Source organism: Homo sapiens, chromosome 1, assembly GCF_000001405.40.
Source record: "Homo sapiens chromosome 1, GRCh38.p14 Primary Assembly".
NCBI classification, from domain to species: domain Eukaryota; kingdom Metazoa; phylum Chordata; class Mammalia; order Primates; family Hominidae; genus Homo; species Homo sapiens.
The window spans coordinates 88,864,615-88,891,219 of NC_000001.11; the positions used below are offsets into that span (position 1 = coordinate 88,864,615).

Below are 26,605 nucleotides of genomic sequence, written 5' to 3' on the forward strand. Positions count from 1 at the left end.
TTTATACAGAATAAACCTCAAGCCTAGAATCCGTGAGAAGAAAGCCTGGTAGGCAAACTTTTCTCTTTAAGCAAAGAGGCAGCATCTAAATATATCATGTCCAATAAAAGCAGACACAAGTAAACCTTATTATTACTGTTTTGGTGAGAAAGCTCAATGTCTGGCAATACCTTCAGAGTAGACAAAAGTTAACACTGAATACTTAACACATACTACTCACTGTGCCCTTTTGTAAATGTTCTCACTTAATCTTCACAGCCTTATAAAGGTAGGTACCAATTTTATTGCCACTTTACAAATAAGATTAACTAGCCTAAGATCACATAGCTAGAACTGAAACGCACATCAGAGTTTGTTCTACACTCCAATTGTAAAACATGACCTTTTTCAGTGAAGTGTGATGAAGCTGAAAGTAGGAAGGAACCAGACCATTTCATCTTTGTGTATACACAGCAAACAGAAAGAAACAAACGGCAGAAACCAGTTACTGTAGCAATTAGAAGTTACGGTACTAGCAGTCAATTAATATAATAGTCAGGGGTGTGAACTCTGCCCTTTGCTGCTTAGCCTTGGAATATTACTTCATTTCTATGTCTTTATTACCTCAGCTCTAAAATTCTCTTTAACCTCATATTTTAAAGATTATAAAGACTAAGCTATTATAATACCCATGTACAGTGCATGTAAAGTGCTTAAAAAGTAGTACTAAGTGCTCAATATTCACTATTTACTGCTATGAAAATTAGAAAGATAGCAAATATTCTGAGTTTCTCCTTTTTTGTGGGGATGATAAGGGAGACGCATCAGTTTAAAACATTAATCTCCAGCCGGGTGTGGTGGCTCAGGCCTGTAATCCCAGCACTTTGGGAGGCCGAGGCAGGCGGATCACCTGAGGTCAGGAGTTTGAGACCAGCCTGACCAAGATGGAGAAACCCCGTCTCTACTAAAAATACAAAATTAGTTGGTCATGGTGGCACATGCCTGTAATCCCAGCACTTTGCGAGGTCCAGGCGGGCTGTCACCTGGTTGGGAATTTGAGATCAGCCTGACCAACATGGAGAAACCCTGTCTCTACTAAAAATACAAAATAGCTGGGCGTGGTGGCACATGCCTGTAATCCCAGCTACTCAGGAGGCTAAGGCAGGAGAACTGCTTGAACCTGGGAGGTGGAGGCTGTGGTGAACTGAGATCGCAACAAGAGGGTAACAAGAGTGAAACTCCATCTCAAAAAAAAAACAAAACAAAACAAACAAACAAACAAAAATTAATCTCCATAGAAGACTTTAAAAGCTTCCAAGTGCTCCGCTAAGTATTTGATCAGGAGGACAGCAAAGAACAGAGAAAACGGAAGGAATTCCACCTAGACTATGCTAACTTTTTAATTTTTTATATAAAAATTAATTTAAATGCTCATAAACAACCAGAGTATAGTGATCATATAATCTTAGTGATAGATTTAAAAAAAGGCTGGGCATGGTGGTTCACACCTGTAATCTTAGCACTTTGGGAGGCTTAAGCAGGAAAATCACATGAGCCCAGGAGTTCAAGACCAGCCTGGGCAACATGGTGAAACCCTGTCTCTACAAAAAAATACAAAAACAAATTAGCTGGGCGTGGTGGCATGTGCCTGTAGGGAGGCTGAGGTGGGAGGATCACCTGAGCCCAGGAGGTTGAGGCTGCAGGGAGCCATGATTACACCACTGCACTCCAGCCTAGGTGAGGGAGACCCTGTCTAAAGTAAGCAAATGCTCAAGAGAATGATTCATTTCTGAAGCCTCTGACAAAATTTTTCTTTTTTCTTTTCCTTTTTTTCAGACAGGGTCTCACTCTGTTGCCCAGGTTTGAGTACAGTGGTGCAATTTTGGCTCACTGCAGCTTTTGCCTCTGGGGCTCAAGCAATACTTCCACCTTAGCCTCCTGAGCAGCTACAGATATGCACCACCACTGCCTGCCTGGCTAATTTTTGTATTTCTTGTAGAGATGGGGTTTTGCCATGTTGCCCAGGCTAGTCGTGAACCCCTAGGCTCAAGTGATCCACTCACCTCGGCCTCCCCAAGTGCTGGGATTACAGGGGTGGGCCACCATGCACAACAGAAAAACTTTTCTTTAAACAACTGAATCACCAAGGTAAAAGCGGATTATCAGTTGGACTACCATGTGTCCACATTACAAAGGGATTGAGATTAGAGGCAGAGTTCCCATGTGCCATCCCTGTATGCAAGGAGAACACGCAAGGAAGGCAGAAGCAGGACAGTAAGTTAGAAGGCAATTTTAATACATCACACATTGAGCAGGTGGCCCGAAACAAGGAGAAAAGCGTTAGATGGATGGCATTACAAGGATTTATCTGTTTCCTCTTCCTCATAATAAACATCACTAAACTTAGGAAGCAGTTTGAATTATGCAGATTTTAAAAAGATACTTAAAAGTATCATAAATTGTCATTGTGCACTGAAACCTTACCAAACCACTGTGCAGTGAGTACTATTCACCAACAAGCCCATGTCTCAAAGAGATCACACTAAAGAGATCAATTTTTCTTCCTTTTTACAAAATATTTGCTCACTAAAAGATACGTTAGAAAAAAATTACCTGCATTCCCAATACCCAATGACCACTATATTTTCATATATGCTCTGTGTTTTTCGTTCATATGTATGCACCTACGTTTTCCTAAAATTTAGATACTGTGCCTGTTTCATGACAAGCTCTTTTCATTAAATTTATCATAAACACCAGCATGGTATTTTTAGACAGAATTTAGTCCCTTTAATAGCATCCACCAATTAAAGTGATACCATGGTGTTCCCATGCACTTATGTCCAAAGACAGAAAAGACAATCTAACTTTCCTATTTGGCAAAATAAAAACACAAACATGCATAGAACAAAAATAACCGTGGCCTTCAAACCCAGAGTTACTAAATTTTAAGCTAAAAAAAATCAACAAATGTCATCAATAACTTGCAATATTTTTATTAACATACATGAATGTATCAAGAGAATGGCATAAATGAAAAGGCAGGAAGGTATGCCCACATCTTTTAAGTCTCTCTAGAAATCTAAAGATAAACCATTAGTTAGCTAAGATGCTTCATTTCATAGCATTTTCTGAAATACCTTACCATGAGATTCATTTGCTGCCTGCTTTATACTGTTTTTATAAAGACAAGATGGATTTTTTATTTTTTTTAAATGGATTATTTTAAGGTAGTATAGTATAAATAGAAAGCGCAACACTGGGTGGTGATGTAATTTTTCCACATACGTAGGAATGATCTAAATGACTCGTTCAAGAATCTGTGGTTTGTGCTAAGAACCATTCCCTCTTTTTATATTTAACTACTCAAAAGAGCATTCACAAGGAATGAAGTTTCCAAAACAACTCATTTAGCATACCATGCAACTACAACTAGTCCAGCAGATTAAGTGCATGAGTAACAAGAAACAGGGCAAGTCCATTCAGAAAAAATTAGAACACATAAAGAATTTTCATTTGAAGAAAATCTAAATGGAGTAGTATTTTTAAAAGTTGCTCTGGAAGAAAGCTGCGAGACAAAACTTTTTCAAGGGCTAAGTGGTACAAGGCAGCCATGCCTGGGTATAATCTATAGTCAACTTTTGAAAAGGAAGCAGCCAGCCAATTAGCAAATACACAAAACTTCACATATCCTTTAGTGTTCTAGAAACAGAGACACATATGAATTTCCACTAGTTTCCTTCTTAACCACACACTGTAGTCTATGTGAAGATTTATAGTATCAAAGAAAACTTACACTACTATAATATATATGCACGACTCCTCCCTCCACCTAGAGTGTGACCTTTAACACTTTTAATCAAGTTCCCCATCCAAAAGAGTAAACGCACCCAATATGTGTATTTATGTATTTCACACATTAGCTCTCAATCCATATATTAGAGTGGTGTCTAAAGAGTATTAACTGAAACATCTTACCATATTCTGAAGAGAATACGAATTCCATCTCTATTTTTCAAGAAGAAACCGAGAGTAATTGTCAAAAGTCACTTGCACCAGTTTCAAGTGGTTTAGTCACTTTGGCACCTATCTTACAATCTGGCAATTCCACTCTTAAGTACAGTTGGCCTGCTGTATCTGTGTATTCTTTTTTTTTTTTTGAGACGGAGTCTCGCTCTGTCGCCCAGGCTAGAGTGCAGTGGCTCAATCTCGGCTCACTGCAAGCTCCGCCTCCTGGGTTCATGCCATTCTACTGCCTCAGCCTCCCGAGTAGCTGGGACTACAGGCGCCCACCACAATGCCTGACTAATTTTTTTGTACTTTTTTTAGTGCAGACAGGGTTTCAGCGTGTTAACCAGGATGGTCTCGATCTCCTGACCTCGTGATCCGCCCACCTCTGCCTCCCAAAGTGCTGGGATTACAGGCGTGAGCCACCGCGCCCGGCCTGTATCTGTGTATTCTGCATCCGCGGATTCAACCAACCAGATTGAAAACATTTGGAGAAAAAATACGCCTGTACTGAACATGTACAGACATTTTTTTCTTGCTATTATTCCCTGAGCACAATATAAACAACTATTTACACAGCATTTACACTACGTAAGTAATCTAAAGATGATGATTTAAAGTATATGGGAGGATGTGCATGGGCAAATACTACGTCATATTGTATCAGAGACTAGAGCATCTGCAAATTTTGGTATGCAAGGGAGGTCCTGGAACCAGTCCCCCACAGATACTGAGGGATGGAGTGAGTGTATTTACCCATTAGAAACAACCCATCAACAGAAAAATGTGTACAATGGAATATTCTTCAGTAAATAAACTACTGATATATGCAACAACAAATATATCTCAAAACTTTTTGAAATTTTTTGAAATTATTTCAAGCCAAAAATGTCAGTCACAAAAAAGTTCATACTATATGATTTCATTCACATGAAGTTGAAAAAAACGGGAAAATAATCTATGAGAACAGAAATCAGTTCAGTGGCTATTGCTGGGTGGGAGTGATTGGCAAGTGGCATAAAATGACTTCTTTTTTTTTCCCCCGAGACGGAGTCTCACTCTTTTGCCCAGGCTAGTGTGCAGTGGCACGATTTCAACTCACTGCAACCTCTGCCTCTGAGGTTCAAGTAATTCTCCTGCCTCAGCTTCCAAGTAGCTGGGATTACAGGCGCCTGCCACCACGTCTGACTAATTTTTGTATTTTTAGTAGACGGGGTTTCACCAGGTTTGCCAGGCTCATGTCGAATTCCCGACCTTGTGATCCGTCCGCCTCGGCCTCCCCAAGTGCTGGGATTACAGGCACAAGCCACTGTGCCCAGCCAAAATGACTTTTTTTTTTTTCTTGAGATGGAGTTTCGCCCTGTCACCCAGGCTGGAGTGCAGTGGCACAATCTCGGCTCACTGCAAGCTCCACCTCCCTGGTTCACGCCCTTCTCCTGCCTCAGCCTCCCGAGTAGCTGGGACTACAGGCGCCCACCACCACGCCTGGCTAATTTTTGTATTTTCAGTAGAGACAGGGTTTCACTGTGTTAACCAGGATGGTCTCGATCTCCTGACCTTGTGATCCACCCGCCTTGGCCTCCCAAAGTGCTGGGATTACAGGCGTGAGCCACCGCGCCAGGCTGCCAAAATGACTTCTAAGGTGAGAGAAACGGTCTTTGTATCTTGATTAAGGTGTGGGTTACACCAGTAAGTGCACTGTCAAAATTCAAACTATGTTTTATTGTAAGCAATTACAGCTCAATAAATTAAAAATTAAAAACTCATTCCCACTAATATACTACTGATTTTGAATTAAATGACACCAAACCTATATATTATTTTGGGAATCACAGGACAATTCTTATCTTCTTCAACAAGGGAATACTCTTTCCTCAAGGTCTTCTTTCAGATTTCAAAGTATGATGTATGCCACACTTAAGACTAGACCTAGATTTTTTTATGTTAAAAATCTCATTTTCTAACTACTAATTGCTATATTTTATATGCTTAAATTCAGTCACTTTTAATAGACTATTAATTTTTTAAATTTGACTATTCTAGAGAACCCCATCAGTGGCAAAAAACATATTCCATTTCCAATGCTTAACTTTCATTTATATTTTATATCTAAAGCACTAGTCAAAACTTTCAAAACAGTGCTCTTGATTTTAAACTGAAACATTTCAACATTATGCATACAACTGAAACAGTCTATTAAAGCATTATTCTACTCTAAGTATCTTAAATAGGAGTAAGTGTTGAGTTTATTAAATGTCTGTCTTCCTACCAGACCACTGTGTTTCTTACACAGTCTTTTTTTTTTTTTTTTTTTTTTTGAGATGGAGTCTCGCTCAGTCACCCAGGCTGGAGCGCAATGGTGCAATCTTGGCTCACTGCAACCTCTGCCTCCTAGGTTCAAGCGATTCTCCTGCCTTGGCCTCCTGAGTAGCTGGGACTACAGGCGTGTGCCACCACGCCTGGCTAATTTTTGTATTTTTAGTAGAGACGGGGTTTCATTATGTTGCCCAGGCTGCTCTCGAACTCCTGGCCTCATGTTATCCGCAAACATTGGCCTCCCAAAGTGCTGGGATTACAGGTGTGAGCCACTGCACCCAGCCCATATTGTCTTCTTATGTTGTAAAAAGCTAATCACAGTTGTTTGAGAGCTATTATACTTTAATACTTACATGTTAGGATAAATCAAGTTATACTGGAGTAACAATTTTAAAAGCTCAGTGGCTTAAAATGAAGGTTTATTTCTTATTCACATTACATGTCTATAAAGAGATAACTTTATGGAAGCTTCTTACACCATCCTTATTCAAGGTGACAGGATCTTTATCACCTGAGATATTGCCAGTTACCATGGATGGGGGAAGGGAAATGTGGGAAGTTATACACAGACTTAATAATGGCTTCTGACCAAAAGTGACAGTAACATTTCCACTCACATGCCACTGGCCAAAGTCAGTCAAGTGGTCATGCTTCAAAGGGGAGAAATACAATTACATCATATACCCTCAAGGAGAACCAAAAACGTTAAGGGAATAGTCATTAGTGCTGTTCCAAGTGACAATTAACAAAGATAATTTGGCACTGTATTTTGGAGATTTATGTATAAAGTCGTATAAAAGACTGCTCTTTTTATTTATTATTATTCTTTTTGAGATGGAGTTTCACTCTTGTTGGCCAGGGTGGAATGCAATGGGGTAATCTCAGCTCACGGCAACCTCCGCCTTGCAGGTTCAAGCAATTCTCCTAATTCAGCCTCCCGAGTAGCTGGGATTACAGGCATCCACCACCACGCCCAGCTAATTTTTTGTATTTTTAGTAGAGACAGGGTTTCACCACGTTGGCCAGGCTGGTCTCGAACTCCTGACCTCAGGTAGTCCACCCACCTCAGCCTCCCAAAGTGCTGGGAATACAGGCATGAGCAATTGCGTCCAGCCCAGAAGATTGTTCTATGGCTTCCTTTTTGTACCAAATGACAAACTGAAGAATTAGGGATAATTTCATTGTATTTCAGCAATTGTCACAGAGAAGTAATCTGTCAATATGATTTTAGGTCCTTTGAAAGTAACCTTTTTAGGCCGGGTGCGGTGGCTCACGCCTGTAATCCTAGCACTTTGGGAGGCCAAGGTGGGCGGATCACCTGAGGTCAAGAGTTTGAGACAAGCCTGACCAACATAGTGAAACCCGGTCTCTACTAAAAATACGAAATTAGATGGGCGTGGTGCTGCATGCCTGCAACCCCAGGTACTTGGGAGGCTGAGGAGGAGAACTGCTTGAACCTGGGAGGTGCAGATTGCAGTAAGCCGAGATCATGCCATTGTACTCCAGCCTGGGCAACAAGAGTGAAACTCCATCTCAATAAAAAAAAAAAAAAAAAAAAAAAAAAAGAAAGTAACCTTTTTACTGGTTGGTTGCAAGTCTCTATTAATATAATTTTTTAAATATTAAAAGGATGCAATCCCCAGTGCTATGCACAATTCTTGATTTGTAGCCCTGAGCTCTTCTGCTAGGAATGTAAAGTTTTATTCTCTTTTATCTTATTCACCTGGATCTTCAAGTAGTACCACAATGGGTACCTTGTCTTACTAACTTAACAGATATCTTGTCTTCTTGCACACTGTGGGTGTATCTCAGGTTTGTTCTCTGCTTTACTGATTTAGTTTTTTAGAGTGTTAAGTCTGCTAATTACCACCTAAAAACCAGTTTTATTGTGTTTGTCTCCTTGTGCTGTGTTACTTTTTTCTGACATTTAATAGAAATCTTCCATAATATTTCAATAATAGACCCTTTAGCGCACTGATCACATTGGTTTCTGTAACTTTCTCTGAGTAATTAAACTATATTAGGGGCACAGTTTTCTGCTAAGTCCATAGGATCCCTGTTTCTCTTTATTACAGTTTTATATTCATAAGCCTCATATTGATTTTTAAGTTTATTCATCCTATAATAAAGAATTGTCAATCCAATCCAGATAATCTTCCAACATCACTAACACCAGTACTCTCAGTCTTTATGGGCATTAGCACAGTCCCCAGCAGACTAATAGATGACCCAAACAAGAGAAACTTCCCACAGGATTCCATTAAGTTTTTTTTTTTTTTTTTTTTTTTTTGAGACAGAGTCTCGCTGTGTCGCCCAGGCTGGAGGGCAGTGGCACTATCTCGACTCACTGCAACCTCCACCTCCCAAGTTCAAGTGATTCTCCTTTCTCAGCCTTCTAAGTAGCTGGGATAACAGGCGCGCACCACCACGCCAGGCTAATGCCCAGCTAATTTTTGTATTTTTAGTAGAGACGAGGTTTCAACATGTTGGTCAGGCTGGTCTCAAACTCCTGACCTCGTGATCTGCCTGCCTCGGCCTCCCAAATTGCTGGGATTATGGGTGTGAGCCACCACGCCTGGCCAGGATTCCAGAAGTTTTTAAGGAAGGACATACAGGTAGGGTTGCTATAATTAAATAAAAAATAGTAGTGACTTAAACAAGATAGAAGTTTCTCATGTTAACAGTCCATACTTAACAGTCCTAGGCTAGTATGACCCAAGCTCCTTCTATCTTTTTGATAAGTTATCCTTACTATGGCTTGCATTTTGTAGCACGGGACAGCTGTTGGTAATTTCCTTTATCATGTCTGCATTCTAGCCATCGGGAAGGAAAAAAAGTAAGGATACATCTTTTCTTATGACATAAACTAGAGTTGTACACATCTCTTCTAATACTTACAAACCCACTGGTCAGAACTTAACCACATGGCGTACCTAGCTACAAGGGAAACTGGGAAATAGGGTCTAGGTGAGCAGCCACATACATGCCCATGTAAAACTCAGGGACTCTTACTAATGAAAGAATGGGGAAATGGATGTTGGCAAATAACCAGCAGTCTCAGCTGTAAGAAATAATAGGATGGGGGAGAGGAGAAGTGAGAAAGAATGTCCAGAAAAATCAGGGTACTCTGCCTCATATTCTGAAGGGAATCGCAAACAAAGACAAATTAAACAGACATTTATCCTCTTTACTATGCAAGCAACTGGAAATCCAACCAAAGGTATTTCATAGCGCAATGTGAAAACCAGAAGGGCTTATCGTGCAGGGGAAATTGCAACACACCAAAAGCAGCCAGGAAGTAAATACTGAGGAGGGTCTGATTTTCTAGCCTGACCTAGACTCTTAAGAGTGTTTTTGCTTCTTATTTCTTATTGCAATTTAATAAAGGAATTTAAAATTTTGTTTTATTTTTTGGAGGTGGGGTCTTGATCTGTCACCCAGGCTAGAGTGCAGTGACACAATCATATCACTGCAGCCTCAAACTCCTGGGCTCAAACAATTCTCCCTAGCTACTTGGGGGAACTAATTCCCCCAAGTAGCTAGGACTATAGGCTTGCGCCACCACACACAGCTAATTAAATTTTTTTTTTTTTTTTTTTTTTTTTTTTACAGACACCGTCTCACTACATTGCCTAGGCTGGTCTTGAACTCCTGGCCCCAAGTGATCCTCCCGCCTCAGCCTCCTGAGTTATCAGGATTACGGCACAAGCCCCTGGCTCCTCAGAAAGGAATTTTTAAAAACAGGAACATGAAGAGGAATTTCCCAGAATTTCAATTCTTTCTGCTGTCTTCCTGGAAACTAATCTTAATCACTGTGGCATACAACCTGTAGTAGAGAATTCAGAAGTAGAAGTCTCAGAATAAACCCAAATTACTTGTCTTCACAGGCTCATTTAGTTTACAAACTACGTATGTTGTTAAATGTGCTGGTAAGTCTAAAAGTTCAAGAATCTGAACGTATTATTATTCAACGTGGACAAACTCTAAACATCAAATATTTTTACATTTAAAGTAAAAAAAAAAAATCCAAGGTACTTTGGAAAACTATTTTAAGTCAACATGCTGTAAACAGTCTAATGTTGATGATGAAATGTATCATTAGCTTCCACACTTTCTGTGGTCATATAATCCTTTCTACCATTCCTTCTCATGACATGTCAAATAATCCTAATTTTTAGTCTAGGGTCACTATACATTCTTACTGAAATTTTGCATTAGACAATTTTGAAGAGAATGCTGACCAAGAGATACTTTATAAAGAAATACTATTAATAATACAGCAAGTCTCTAAATCACCAGTCTCTAAATCACAGTTTATGTTGCCATAAATTGAGTAGGAACTCAACATGAATTATCTCCTAGAAACAAAGCATATCACAGTTTATTTCCCAGACCAGCCCATAAAAGCCTACTTTGCCCCTGATGTTTAGACCGTAAAGAAAACTGTTCAAGGTGATAGTGGAAAATAGTGAGGAAAATACATTGTAAGCTCCATCCCTGGATATCTTATTACATTTCAATTTTCCTCAAATACAAGTAGGTCGATAGGAGCAGCAGCATCTAAGATGAGGAGCTGATGCACTGGTTGAAGGTGTATCCTAAATTTGGCCACAATAAATTTGGCCACTCACTCACTACTACTGTTTAGGCTTCTATCCTATGGCATAGGTTTCTTTTTCTCTTTACTTGGAATCATTTTCTCTCCATAAATCCTTACTCATTCTTAAAAACTATGCTTCACTCGAAATTCAACAGTACTATCTTCAGGATGTCACCATACTCGGAAGATCTGTAATGTAGCTTTTACCGCGGATACTGTATTAAGTTACCCTACTCTCTTTCATACACTATCCAAAGAGTTGCTCCAGGGTTTGCTTACAGCATTCTCATCTTTCTATCACTCTCAGTGACCAACCAGCACAGTGCTTAACTGAGACATATGGTAAAAAAAGGTTTTTAAGTCCCATAGACCTGGATTTATGTGGCTCTGTCACTCAGAAGATGGGAATCTTGAGCTAGTTACCTAAGCACTCTGAGTCTCAGTTTCCCCTTCTGTAAAATGGAAACAAACCAGCTCAAAGGGCAGTCTGCTACTCAAGCAGTTAATGAGTAATTTTTTGATGTTTAAGAGAAAAACTGCACCCAAATTAAAAGCTGTATTAGGCAAGAAGGCTGTGTCTAACGGCTTACAAGGGATGCCAAAGAAATAACTTGTAAGTGAATACAAATACGTTTATTTTAAAAACTTAACTTGGCCATATTAAATGAAACCTGATTTTTTCCTTTAGGAAACACTGTTAATGCTAACTGAAAGAGGGTAACCCAATAATCTTTAACATACTATAATTGGAGCATTAAATATACCAGACCCACAGCAATCACTCAAAGATATGTTGCAACTGACATGCTATGAAATGTGGCATCTCACACTTAGAATCACCCTCTTTTTCTACAAGGTTAAAAAAAAACAAGGGGGAAGCCGAACACAGTGCTCATGCCTGTTCTAGCACTGTGGAGTCTGGAGCAGGAGGATTGCTTGAGCCCAGGAGTTCGAGATCAGCCTGGGCAACACAGGGAGATGCTGTCTCTACAAATATTAATAATTTTTTAAAAAATTAGCTGAGGGTGGTGGTTTGAGCCCGTGGCGACAGCTACTTGGGAAACTGAGGCAGGAGGCTACCTGAGCCTGAGAGGTCAAGGTTGCGGTGAGCCATAATCATGCCACTAGCCTGGGCAACAGAGCGAGACCCTGTCTCAAAAAAAAGCACTTGTATCTCCACAATATGTATCAGTGAAATCTTATACTAAAATTACACTATATATTTTATACATTATTTCATCTGACTCAGCAATTCTGAGATGTATCTGTCTTTCATGGGTGAGGAAAAAAGATTTTACAGATGAAACAAATTAAGCTTGAACAAAGTATGTAACTATAGTTACACAGCTTACTAATTAGTAAAGCCAACCCTCAATTCTAGAGACACTGACTTCTAGCTATACTAGGAGCAATGGAGACACACAATTATAAAATATATGCCCCAAAGGAGTTTGCAGTGTAGGTGTGAAGACATGGAAAATATGAAGATAAAAAATCTAAACGTACAGAAAATCCAAAAGAATGTGGTAAATTATAAAGTAGTACAGATTTGTGTTCCTCAATATGTTACCAATGTATGACCTACATTAGAATTTCTGGGAATGGAGCCTAGAATCTTTTTAAGCACATTCCCCAGCTGACTCTTAATGCCCATTTATATATTCATATTTCAGATTCGCTGGTATAAACAATATGCAGAATGAGTTTAGTAGAAGGGAGAGGTCAAATGGACTCATTTCTCTCTTTCAAATATACCTAAGCTATTTTCCAGTATTTTCCTTACGTTGCTTTTACATACAATCAAATAATTTAGATTTAAATGGTACACAAAAAAGTGGCTTTAACTAGAAATACTACTACTAGTTTCAAACAACTCCTCATTGTGAAATAATTTATAAAGTCATGATAGACCAATTTTATGTTTTAATAGCAATTATGGCAGGTTACTAAGCTAATACTTTACTGATTATAAAAATCAATTTATGGGCAATGTACAAGGTCAAATTCATGAACTGATTATCTAAATACAATAATACTGCCACCTAGTGTTCAACTTTTAAAACGACATAATCATACAATTGGAATTTGGGAAAAAACCCCCACAAAAGAGTGCTGTTAGAACAAACAGTTTCGGCCGGACACAGTGGCTCATGCCTGTAATCCCAGCATTCTGGGAAGCCGAGGCACGTGTATCACTTGAGGTAAGGAGTTTGAGAACAGCCTGGCCTATATGGCGAAACCCTATCTCTACTAAAAATACAAAAATTAGTTGGGCATGGTGGTGGTCACCTGTAATCCCACTACTCAGAAGGCTGAGGAAGGAGAATCACTGGAACCCGGGAGGCAGAGGTTGCAGTGAGCCAAGATAAAGCCACTGCACTCCTGCCTGGGCGACAGAGCGAGACTCGGTCTCAAAAACAAAACAAACAAACAAGCAAAGACAACTAACAGTTTCACAGTAGGAACAACAAAACTTTAAGAATTGGCCCAGGTTGGGCGTGGACATTTTGGGAGGCCAAGGCGGGTAGACTGCTTAAGGCCAGACGTTCAAGACCAGCATGGGCAACACAGCTAAACCTCGTCTCTACAAAAAAATACAAAAATTAGCCAGGTGTGGTGCTGTGTGCCTGTAGTCCCAGCTACTCAGGAGGCTAAGGTGAGAGGATCGCTTGAACGAACCAGGGAGGTGGAAGTTGCAGTGAGTCGAGATGATTTCAGTGCACTCCAGCCTGGGGAACAGGGTGAGACCCTGTCTCAAAAATAAAAAAATAAAAAATTGGTTGTTTTAGAGTCACTACCAGTATCTCAAGGATCACTGATGAAATGGGCAGCTAATACCAAATCATAACACTTCATATGTTTCAAATAAAAATCTTGTAATTCAAATAAAAGAGAACCAATTAAACAACTATCACATGTTGAATAGCATTAACTATAGCTACAAAAATTGGAAACAAGTTTTAAGAGACACTAAATAATACATAGCTATTTAAATACTGGGGAAAAGCATTATCAAAGGACAGTAAATGTGTGACAATTTGTATTTTCCAAAGATGGCAACAATATCTCCCATCCACATGTTCTTCTGCAATGTGACCTCGTCAGTATCAAGTTTAGGTACAGCCTATTTCCCCATTCCCTTCAACTCAGGTGGGTCCTATCATGGCTCTGACGAATACAATACTGAAGTGATCCTGTGCCAGTTCTAGGCATAACCCTTACCTACCCATGTCTAGCTTCCACTTTCTCAGAACACTTGCTCTTGAGGTATTTCTCTTAGAAGCCAACTACCACGTAGTATAAAATATGACTACTGTAAGACAACTATGGAGAAGCCCTGGAGGATGACAGATCCATGTGCGGAGGTCAAGGAGCACGGAGGAACCAGAAATGCAAGTGAAGAAGTTATCATAGAAGCAGATCTTACAGGCCCAGCCGGTGCCAACTGCCCAGATAAATCCTTCCCAAATTACTGACTCATAAAATCATGAGCAAGATAAAATGGTTGTTGTAAGCCACTAAGTTTTGAGGTAGTTTGTAATGTAACTGTAAATGAAACAAAAATTGGTTCCTGAAGTATTATGTTGCTTTAAGAAAAATAAACACTTGCCTCTTGTTTTCAGATTGGTGGTGGGTGGGCCTCAAGAAGAAGGAGGTTTGACAGACAATGAGATAAATGTTATTAGAGGCAGGAAAAAAGGTATAAAGTATAAGATATAAGCTTATAAGATAAATATACTTTTGGTATTATGAATTATTTCATTAAAAAAGGTGATAGTGGCCAGGTATGGTGGCTCGTGCCTGTAATCCCAGCACTTTGGGAAGCCGAGGTGGGCAGACCACCTGAGGTTAGGAGTTCGATACCAGCCCAGCCGACATGGTGAAACCCCGTCTCTACTAAAAATACAAAAAATTAGCCAGGTGCGGTGGTGGGTGCCTGTAGTCCCAGCTACTCAGGCAGGAGGCTGAGGCACGAGAATCGCTTGTACCTGGGAGGTGGAGGTTGCAGTGAGCCGAGATAGCACCACTGCACTCCAGACTGGGCAACAGAGTGAGATTCCATCTTAAAAAAAAAAAAAAAAGTAATAGTAATGGGCTCTCTTAGTTGCTAACACAGATGAGAGGGTGACATATGGCTCTGATTATGCAAGTTGGGCCGTATCTATGCTTAAGTTTGCTATTAAGAGGAATTAGTGACAATGGGTTGTCCTAATTTTCAAGCACAAATTAAACGTTAATTAAATATAAGACTGTCCAGCTGGGCGCAGTGCCTCACACCTGTAATCCCAGCACTTTGGGAGGTCGAGGCGGGTGGATCACCTGAGGTCAGGAGTTTGAGACCAGCCTGGGCAACATGGTGAAACCCCGTCTCTACTAAAAATACAAAAAAATTAGCCGGGCGGGGTGGCATGTGCCTGTAAATCCCTGCTACTCCGGAGGCTGAAGCAGGAGAATTGCCTGAACCCGGGAGGTGGAGGTTGTAGTGAGCAGAGATTGTGCCACTGCACTCCAGCCTGGGCGACAGAGCAAGACTCCTCCATCTCAAAAAAATAAAAAAGAAAAAGAAAAAGAAAAGAAAAATGGGACTGTCCAAAAACAATTCTGAAAATGTTTACTGAATTAATATGGTTTAATCTAAAAAGTTTCAGACAATGTAAAAAATTTTATGGCAAGCATAATCAATCATGTATACCAAGATAATTTATTAGGAAACACTTGATGTCTGGATTCAAATTCCCATGAAAAACAGTAATTTAAATAAGAAAAAAGTCACAAATGTTGTCCCTTAGTGGGTTGTAGAATATTTGCCCACCTTGATTTCTTCCCCATTTTCTTAGTGTAAGAGGTAAAGGCTGAACTGAGCTGGCAATGAAGAGCAGATGCCTTTAAACCAGCGAGCTGATGCAAATTCAATTACATATACAGTCACATGTTGCATAACATTTTGGCTTAGAATGGACTATATACACAATGGTGGTCCCTTAAGATTATAATACTGTCTTTTCATTGTACCTTTTCTATGTTTCGATATATAAATACTGGAGGCACTGACTCCAGAGAGCTGAACACATTCACATATATGGCAGGGTCTGTATGCACCCTGACAACTCACAGAACAATGGGATGAAAGGATACTTTCTCCCACTTTTCATAGGTAAACTGGATAAGTTAATGTACCTGAGTACCTACAAAAATGTAGTAAGTGGGGCCTGGCGCAGTGGCTCACACCTGTAATCCCAGTACTTTGGGAGGCCGAGGCTGGGGGTATCTCTTTGAAGCTAGGAGTTTGAGACCAGCCCGGCCAACATGGGGAAACCCCGTCTTTCCTAAAATAACAAAAATTAGCTGGGAGTGGCAGTGCATACTTTTAACCCCAGCTACTCGAGTGGCTGAGGCATGAGAATCACTTGAACCTGGGAGGTGGAGGTTACAGTAAGCCGAGATCATGCCACTGCACTCCGGCCTGGGTGACAGAGCGAGATGCTGTCTCAAAAAAAAAAAAAAAAAAAGAACTAGTAAGTGAAGGTACAATTGGTCAGACATGCCCCACAAAGCCTACATTGAACAGGATGTTAAAAACACCACATACTAGAATATGAGTTTGGCCAGAAGCTCCAAAAGCCAGAATAAATACATGCTAGGTATGTATTTAAAAAAAAAAAAAAAAAAAAGATACATACTTACCTCTGAGTTAAAACTGCCTACAGTACTCAGTACAATACCACTGTACAGGTTTGTAGCCCAGAAGCAATAGGCTATACTATGTAGCCTAGGTGTGTTGTAGACTATACCATCTAGGTTTTATTAAGTACCATCTATGATGTTCATATGATGAAATCACCTAACGATGCATTTCTCAGAACATACCCTCATCAAGTGACATATGATTTTAATGCAATCTAAATGTACTATTGATATATGACATTAATATATACAGGTGTTTATGTCATATATTGATTTATATTCATGCAGTGTCATGTTCAATTTAGGTATTTCCAACTTAATTTGCTTGATGATAGTCTCAGCAAAACAGAACTTTGCTCCTAGACTCTTCTACACCTGCCCTTGTTTGGTAATGGAATGGATTCTTCGCTTACAAGATATATTACACATTTAACCACAAATATCTATGAATGAGCCTACCGTATATTTTAAAATAAGTGTTGGTTATATTTTATGTTAGAAGAATCAGTATCAAAAAGAAATACTGTCATATATTATAGAAAGTAAGTTTTATTGGATATGTTTTTCAGATCTCAAGATTTAACATGGTGTTTGATACTAGTAAGTCAATAAAAGCAAAAACAAAATTAACTTCCTTTGGTTTGATATAGCAGAAAAGTACAAGCAAAAATTAGGAATTCCAAGCACAAGAAAGCATACAAGTCTTGTGAATTGTATCTTCCTTTTTCAGTTGATTAATCTCCACTGTCTTGCTGGTTAAAGTGGAAGTGAGGCTGGTGGGAAGGCTGAAAATATAATGGGATACTTTTACATTATTTAAAAATGGGCCAGGTGCCATAGCTCACGCCTGTAAACTCAGAACGCTGGGAGGTCGAGGCAGGTGGAACACTTGAGGCCAGGAGTTTAAAACTAGCCTGGACAACGTGGTGAAACCCTGTCTCTACTAAAAATACAAAAATTAGGTGGGTGTGGTGGTGCATGCCTGTAATCCCAGGTACTCAGTAGGCTGAAGTACAAGAATCGCTTGAACCCCGGAGGCAGAGGCTGCAGTGAGCGGAGATCGTGCCACTGCACTCCAGCCTGGGGGACAGAGGGAGACTCTCACTCCAAAAAAAAAAAAAAAAAAAAAAAAAAACGCTACAGAGGTTAGGAGAGCTAAGAAGCTGAAATTATCTTCAATCTCATGTATGTCTGTCTCACTCGTACACATTATCAGTTTGATCTTAACACTGTGGAAGAACTGGAAGGCTCTCATTTAACTGAAGGGTTAAGCAAACATTTTCTGTAAAGGGTGACATAGTAAGTATTTTAGGTTTTGTGGGTCAAGAGGCAAAATTCAGGATATTAAGTAGGTACTTACATGTCTACTAATGAGGAAAATAAAATTCTCTTTTGGGGATCACATTTCACTTAATTGGAGTTCAAAGTTAATGTTCTCTATCAAAATCAATGACAAATGTTCATGTGTCAATGATGTTGTGTTAACAAGATTTTATGTATTTCACTTTCTTTTCGCATAGACAAGTAATGCCAAATACCGATATTAATCCACAAGTGTATGATTTTAATTGAGCATATTTATTGCTTGGAAGGCATTCATAGAATTGTATTACATTCTTCTCCTGATAATGGCCTTTTAACATACTGTTACACTGCAGATTAGTCACTACCAACTGAAGGTTAGATGGAACCCCCTTAACTGTACAGTGAAAACAAATTTTGAAATATGAAAATTTCCTTTGCATTTGCATTCAAGTCTGAAAAACACTGCTGAAAATATAGCTTGAGCCTGGAAAATATATCTGCTGCAAATCTATGTGGTAATGAACATCCTATTTTAACTTCTGACACCACTGGAAGTATATAAAGTATATAAAAGCAATTTGACATTACTTATGATTCAAATGTTAACTTGTGAAATTGACTTTACTGCACTTTATGTTTCACAGAAAAGCAGTATTTTGCCTTGTAACTCTATGATGAATTCATTAAGACATATTAGCAAGTTTGCAGCAAAAGCTAATTTTCAAAACCATCCAGTGTTCAACAGCAGTAGCCGAAGGCAGTACTGATTCAGAAAAATCTTACTCTTGGCCCCGAGTTCAGAAAAATCACAACAAAACTTTGCTACTGCTAAGTCACCAGATTAGTGTGTCATTAAGACAAGTCACCCTAACAGTATTTTGTTAGAAATATTCAGCTTCTATTTCTAACAAAATGTCACAAAACTGGCTGAGCATGATAGCTCACACCTATAATCCCAGCACTTTGGGAGATCAAGGCAAAAAGATCACTTGAGGCCAGGGTTCAAGACTAGTCTGGGCAACGCTGTGAGACCCTATCTGTACCAAAAAAAAAAAATTAGCCAGGGTCCTGCTTGAGCCCAGGAGTTGAGGCTGAAGTGAGTCATGATCGCACCACTGCACTCCAGCCTGAGAAACAGAGTGAGACTCTGTCTCAAAAAAAAAGTCACAGAACTGATATTGATAGTTACGTGCACAAGAGTGAATGAAGTTCATTGTTCACAATTACTGGTTAAATAACACAAGGTAGATTAAAGTCTTCTCTAACAAAGTACTGCTGATGAATAATGTAATAGGCTTTTTAAACACCTTACGTTTTCAATCTTGGCAAATCTGTTCCACTAAGTCTTCTGCTCCACATATTTTTACCCTTATCAGTTATAATAAATCTTAGCAGATTCCACCTCAGGTTATACTGAATTAACACTTTTGCAACTGCTTTGAAGCTATTTTCTCCTATAGCTGTTCCATGTAGACTACTCACTGGAGCTAGTTCTTCTGTCAAGCTCAGCACTGACTTTTTTTTTTTTTTTTTTTTTTGAGACAGAGTCTCACTCTGTCACTTAGGCTGGAGTGCAGTGGTGCAATCTCGGCTCACTGCAAACTCCGCCTCCCAGGTTCAAACAATTCTCTGCCTCAGCCTCCCGAGTAAGCTGGGATTACAGATGCCCACCACCACGCCCGGCTAATTTTTGTATTTTTAGTAGAGATGGAGTTTCACCATCTTGGCCAGGCTGGTTTTGAACTCCTGAACTCATGATCCATCCGCCTCAGCCTCCGAAAGTGCTGGGATTACAGGCGTAAGCCGCTGCACCTCGCCCAACACTGACTTCTTGAATAAACAACTGCAAAGCAGCAATAACATTGATCTAGTCATCAAGAGCCAAGGAAAAATATACCTGAGCTAATTTGCCTTAACTTTTAATTGACTACTGATGTTGCTCCACTGTCCTCAACTCTTCAAGCAACTGTTCTTGGTGAGATGCTAACAGTCTTAAATAAATTTATTTTCTCTGCATACATTTCTTCAGCTGTTGCAATCAAATATGAATTAACCTATCATTGGTAAATGGCTTTCCTTGCTTGGCCAAGAAATAAGCCACTTAGAAACTTTAGTTGCAGCCTCAGTTTCATTCTTTTATTTTTGTGAAAAAATTCTGTTGTGTTAAGATATTCTATTTTACATTATTTTCTGACCATTGTTTTCCTGAGTTAGAAATATTCTGATGAGTGCTCAGTATGGTAATGTCCACGCTTACTGTATTCTTTTAACACAGCTACAGTATCATTGTGTAATAAACACAATGTTTTGCCATCTAATTCAGTGACAAAATAATCCATACTCCACCATGCCTTAAAAGCATGACATTCAAAGTTAACTTTTCTTGTTTTGGTGTGATGGATATGTAATGGTAATAAAAACAAATAAATAAAATAGTGCAGTATGGCAACATATGTGGCGATCAACATGTTGCTGTTATAACTGCATCACTGCAATTAGTATGCTGAGCAGCAGAAAAAAAGTGATGAGAGCTGCACATGTGGTTTCTGTTGAAGCTACTAAGCTCTGCTGTTGTAATGTGAAAAGAGTCATATACACTATGTAAACAAGTGAGTGTTGCTATATTCCATTAAAACTTTATAGATACCAGGCCAGGTATGGTGGCTTACACCTGTAATCCCAGCACTTTGGGAGGCTGAGGCTGGTGGATCACCTGAGGTCAGGAGTTCAAGACCAGCCTGGCCAACATGCTGAAACCCTGTCTCTACTAAAAATACAACAAGTTAGCCAGGTGTAGTAGTGGGCCCCTGTAATCCCAGCTATTCGGGAGGCTGAGGCAGGAGAATCACTTGAAACTGGAAGGCAGAGGTTGCAGTGAGCTGGGATCGCACCACGGCACTCCAGCCTGGGCAACAAAAGGGCAACAAGAGCGAAACTCTGTATCAAAAAAAAAACTTTGGCCAGGCGCAGTGGCTCACGCCTGTAATCCCAGCACTTTGGGAGGCCAAGGCGATCGTATCACCTGAGGTCAGGAGTTCGAGACCAGCCTGACCAATGTGGAGAAACACCGTCTCTACTAAAAAAAATACAAAATTAGCTGGGCATGGTGGCACATGCCTGTAATCCCAGCTACTTGGGAGGCTGAGGCAGGAGAATCACTTGAACCCGGGAGGCGGAGGTTGTGGTGAACCGAGATCACGCCATTGCACTCCAGCCTGGGCAACAAGAGCAAAACTCCGTCTCAAAAAACAAACGAAGAAAAACTTTATAGATACTGAAATTTGTATTTTCACATGTCCTAAAATATTATTTTTGATTTTTTTTAACCATTTAAAAATGTAAAAGCCAGAATTAACAAATAGGCCATATATAGGTTGTACTTTGACGACCCCAGATTAAAATTTTATTATTATGAAAGGCAATACAAGATAGAAATCTGCCTCCCACGCAGACAATGGAGCCAGTCTTCTAGACTACCTAAACGTCAGTTTCCTTATCTGTAAAATGAAGATAATGGTAGTACTCACCTCACAGGTTTGTTGTGAGGATAAACTGAGTGAATATGTAAATCATTTAGAATAGTGCCTAGTATATAGTAAACATATTAGCTATTAATATTCCTTACTCAGCAGAATACGGTTGCAAATGATTCTCAATTCCTATTAGCAACTCTATACTTTAAAACTCCCACTATAGGTCTGAGGCAAGCAGCCTTCTTGGACCAAGTAAGTCAAGTCCACAGTATGCCACTACTAATGCTTCTGTTATACTGCCCACAATCCTTCTAGAATTTTCATTCTTAAGTAATTCAAACTGCTAAATATTACCCCTATTCTCAGATGCTACAACTCCACCACAAGAATAATTTTTGAACAGACTATCTGTAGTCTAAAGTTCTGCTGCATATCTAGATTAGTGTGCAAGTAGGAACAAGGTGAAACTTTAAGTGTTATTTTTGGCAATAATTTTATACAAGATATTCATCAATAGATGACTGTATAAAAGTTATAATAAATCTTCTTTTTGACTAAAAGGCTTTAAGTGGGACTCAAAAATCATGTTTATCTACTTCCCAATGTATAAAAAAGCCACAAAAGTTTGATTACATGTATTCATTATTTAATATGCATGAGTGTCAGCCCATCTCTCCAGTCCTCTACCAAATATTTCAGACTAAGGACTTATGAAATTACTGGGGCCTTTTCGTTTCTTCTGGATTAGCTCCCACCCCACATTATAAAAATATACATTTGGATATACAATAAAATATATCTCTGAATAAGTTTACTCGTTTCTGTTTCCTAATTGTTTTTTTGCAATAAATTATTTGTTGGGGAAGAAAGTCAAAAATGTGTTCATTAAATGATAGTTTGGAAACTATGCAAAAGTGAAGGACCCTAAACATTATTATTATTATTATTTTTTTTTTGAGACGGAGTCTTGCTCTGTTGCTCGGGCTAGAGTGCAGTGGCACGATCTCGGCTCACTGCAACCTCCGCCTCCTGGGTTCAAGCCATTCTCCTACCTCAGCCTCCTGGGCAGTTGGGATTACAGGTGCCCACCACTACGCCCGGCTAGTTTTTGTATTTTCAGTAGAGATGGGGTTTCTTCATGTTGGTCAGGCTGGTCTCGAACTCCTGACCTCAGGTGATCCTCCCACCTTGGCCTCCCGAAGTGCTGGAATTACAGGCGTGAGCCACCATGCTTGGCCTCCTGAACAGTAATTTAAATTAAAACCATAATAACAACTCACCTACAACCAAGCCACATTCAGGACAGATCATATCACCGGCTCTGTAGTCCTCCACTAAAATCGCATCTGGATGGTTTGGACATGTGACTCTTGGAAGAGCATCCAAACTAAAAGAAAAAAGTTGTATTTTTACATCTTCCCAACCAACATGTATCAAATTAATCTTCTGGGATGGGGGATGGGGAAGACAAAGATTGTGAACGTTTTTTCATACATACAACTGTAACACATATAAGCTAGATTTTCAAAGTAAACATCCCAGTTAGGTTATTTTAAATTCCAGCTAGTAACTGGCAAGTAGTTTCCACTGGAATTCTTATTTTATTGTGGAAGGCTTTCAAAACATAAATAGAAAATAATTGTTTCTTCTCTCAATATGTATGCCAGTAAGACTTTTAGAAATGTTGATTAGTATAGTAATGACTAGTTACCGTAATAACCTGCAGCATTTACATTACCATCCAGTTTGTGCTCTTTGCCACTTATTTCTCTAGTCAGAGAACAATTTCTCTCTGTATTTTTCTACTTGTTAACTACTTTAGTAACAGATTTAAATAGTACACTGAACCCAGTAAGTATAGAAATGAGGGATGGTAGAAGTTGCTCTGCTGAACTTAAGACTTGATGATTTCCTTTAGTCCAGAATTGAGTTATTGAATTTATCATTCAAGAAATTGTTTCAAAAGCTACTTGTTATCTGTGATATTAATAATTAGCTCAATTTATTTTGAACAACAAAGCAGTTTGCAGAAGACACATTCATCTTTTTTTGACACATTAATCTTAAATGATCTGACAGAATCAGCTGTAAAAGCAACAAAGATTTGATCATTATTTCAGGGGGTATGACCTCACAATCATAAATTCTTGGTATCACTGCAAATAAGGCCCTTTTAAAAACCATCTGAAATACAATAAATGGTTAGGTTATGGACATCAGATACACGTAAAAGACAAAATCAACTGTTCTTATAGTATGTAAATAGTATTTGTGGTTTGGGGTAAAGTTTCTCATGCTAGCAAATACAATTCAGAATGTTAACTCTCAACTCAGAAGGTGATATCTACGGGAAAACTGATAAAATAATCCATATTCCCCCCTAAACTTATCTAGTCAGCTTAACTAGAATATGTCTTGAATCTTCTCATTGGGAACACGGGGGGATGAGTATTACTTCATATTTGTGTTTATTCCATAAATTCCTCTAAGGAAAGTATTTTAATAAATTATGACAAATAAAATTAAACAGTTGATATAAATTATGAAAAACCATGTTGAAATAAAGGAAAATGTTAGCAGAGTAACAGTAATTACAAATTAGTAAAAGAGGAGGCCATGTGCAACACGTGCTAAGAACTAATATCTCTGCAGTATTAAAAAGTAGATAGAAAACTATAGTTTGTGTAATGATACAGAAACATCTCAAAGATATGAAGAGTGAAGAATAAGGTAGAAAACCTATACAAAGCTGAAAAGTATGAACTAACCATACACCATAACATGGATGAACCTCAAAATACTAACAGAATCTAGACAGCAGAATACATATGCCATTTATGACAACTTTAAAGCAGGCCAAATGAATTGATGGAGTTAGAAATCAGGATGTGGTTTTCTCAAAGGAGGGGGAATGACTGAGGACAGAGACTTTGCTAGTGTCTTAGCTAGTGCTAGTGGTATCTGATTTCCTTACCTGGGTAGGAGCTATATGTATGTGCTCACTTTGTAACTGAGCTGCCCACTTTTAAAATGTGCTAACTTCATTAAAAAAAGGTAAAAGCAAGGTAGTGAATGGAGTTTAAATTAGGTCACTTTCGTGGGGGAAGAGAGGTTAGAACTATTCCTATACATTTGTTAAAGCATAAACACTAGGAAAACACCAAGAGACTAGTAATTATGGCTGATCCAGGGAGACTTAGATGGCTGGGAGCTAGGAAAGGAGGAAGACTACTTTTCATGGTTTTAGTCTATTGCAATTTTGCTTTTGGACCATTTGTATGTGTTACCTATCAAAATAAAAGTATGCTAAATTAGTAAACTTAATCAAATTACCCACAATACAGAAGAGGAACCATACAAATGGGGTGGTGAAGGTGGTAACAGAGAGAAACAATAGGGAGGAATAGAGAAACCACCACCACTGACATTAAAACGATTCGAGACTACTCAAGTACCAGATAATCCCAAACCCCATTTTATAGCTATCATTTATTGGGCATGGACTGTATTACTTGTGTTATACATTTATTATTGTCAATCTCCACAACAATCCTGCAAGAAAGGCACTATTTCACATTTAAAAAATTATGCTCAGAGAATGATTTGCCTGAAGTCATGGAACTAATAAGTGGCGGAGCTTACATTTGAACTCAGAACATTTGTACTCCTCTGTGAGGACACCAGCCAGTTTCATGGCCTAGTGACAATACACCTTCCTGAGGGAAAAACATGCAAAAGGTAGAAATATTATATTTAGGCTGGGCGCAGTGGCTCATGCCTGTTACCACAGCACTTTGGTAGGCCAAAGCCGGAGGACTGCTTGGACCCAGGAGTTCAGGACCAGCCTGGGCAATGTAACTAGGCCTTGTCTCCACAAAAATAAAAATTAATAAAATTTAAAAATAAAAAAATTAGCCAGGCACGTGGTGTGTACCTATGGTCCCAGCTACTCAGAAGGCTGAGGTGGGAGGATCACTTGAACTGGGGAGGTCATGGCTGCAGTGAGCCATGATCGTGCCACCTACACTTCAGCCCAGGCCTGTTCCATAAAATAAAAAATACTGCATTTAACTTTCTTTGTTGTCACTGATAGAAAAACTTGAGCAATAACTGCTATGATACATAAATTGCACATATCTAGAAAAAAATTTCAGACTTAAAAAGCCATGATAGAATTAAAAAAAAAAAAAGCCATGGTAGAATTTTAAGTCGTATTTGAGTGATCTGGGGAGCCCAAGTTTTCCATTTACCTACAAGGAGGCCTTACCCGACAGAACAACACCCAGATAGAATGACTGAGCATCCAATCCAAGAATCAGAATCAGTAAACAAGAGTGTCACTGGCTTTATGAGTTCTGTTCAAACAGTATATTAGCTAAAGCTGCCTCCCACCCCAAATTCCTTTTCTAATCATAAAATGTAAGTCTTGGCAGTTACCAGAAAAGGCTATTTTGTAAAAATGGCTTTCACTGTGAAATTAACCAATTCCACAGATGATAGCAGGGTCAGAAAAATAGTGCCAGAGTTCCAGAAGCTGTAGAATTAATTTGATACTTTCAACACAGGATTAGTTAACCAAAGGCCAGGTGTGGATAACAGGAAACAGGTTGTCTTAGACTCTACACTCTAACACGACTCTTGGAAAAGTCAACATTGGCATGACTCAGTTTACACTTATGCAAAAATACTAATATCTACCTCACAGTGGTAATGAGAGACATAATTAGGGTCTGCAAGCATTTTTCAGGTCACAAGATTAAAGGCTGTTTCTGAGGGTACTGCATGCATTTCCTGTAGATATGAGTACACTGCATTCTTAAATATATACTAAAAAGCGACCTCCCAGCACATATAACTAATTTTCTTTGGCAAGATTTTCTTCAGAAGTACACAGGCAACGATATTTGTAAACAAATCCTTTAGCAGGGAACTAATCAACTCTTCCGATGGCTCTAGCTTCCACTTCCGAGGCCCGCTGTGATGGTAACCAACCAGGTTCCATCTGGCTTACCAATGCTGACGTTCCCAACTTCCTAGCTGTCAGATCGATAGGAACCTGAAACTAACTGTTTCCCGTTCCTTTGAAAAGGAGAAATTACGGACCCTCGGGTTGTTTGGGCCGTAGATGAAAAAAACAAGCGGGGGGGGGGGCGCGGGGGAGGAGAGGAGGGAGGGTGGGAAGAAGAGAAAATAAAGGGAGATTGAAATATTGGGAAAAGATACGAGGGCAAGGACTGGG

General features: G+C 39.2%; 1 protein-coding gene across 2 annotated transcripts in view; it reads right to left on the bottom strand.

Moving 5' to 3' along the window:
* Positions 1–26,605, bottom strand: part of GTF2B (general transcription factor IIB) — a 38,935-nt gene that overhangs the window by 11,982 nt on the left and 348 nt on the right. For both annotated transcript variants that reach the window (XR_007059241.1, NM_001514.6), the window contains exon 2: positions 22,647–22,753. Coding sequence is in view for 1 of the 2 variants with exons in the window: in NM_001514.6 (NP_001505.1) it covers positions 22,647–22,753 (107 nt within the window). In the remaining variant the exon portion in view is untranslated. The remainder of the gene's footprint in view (positions 1–22,646; positions 22,754–26,605) is intronic.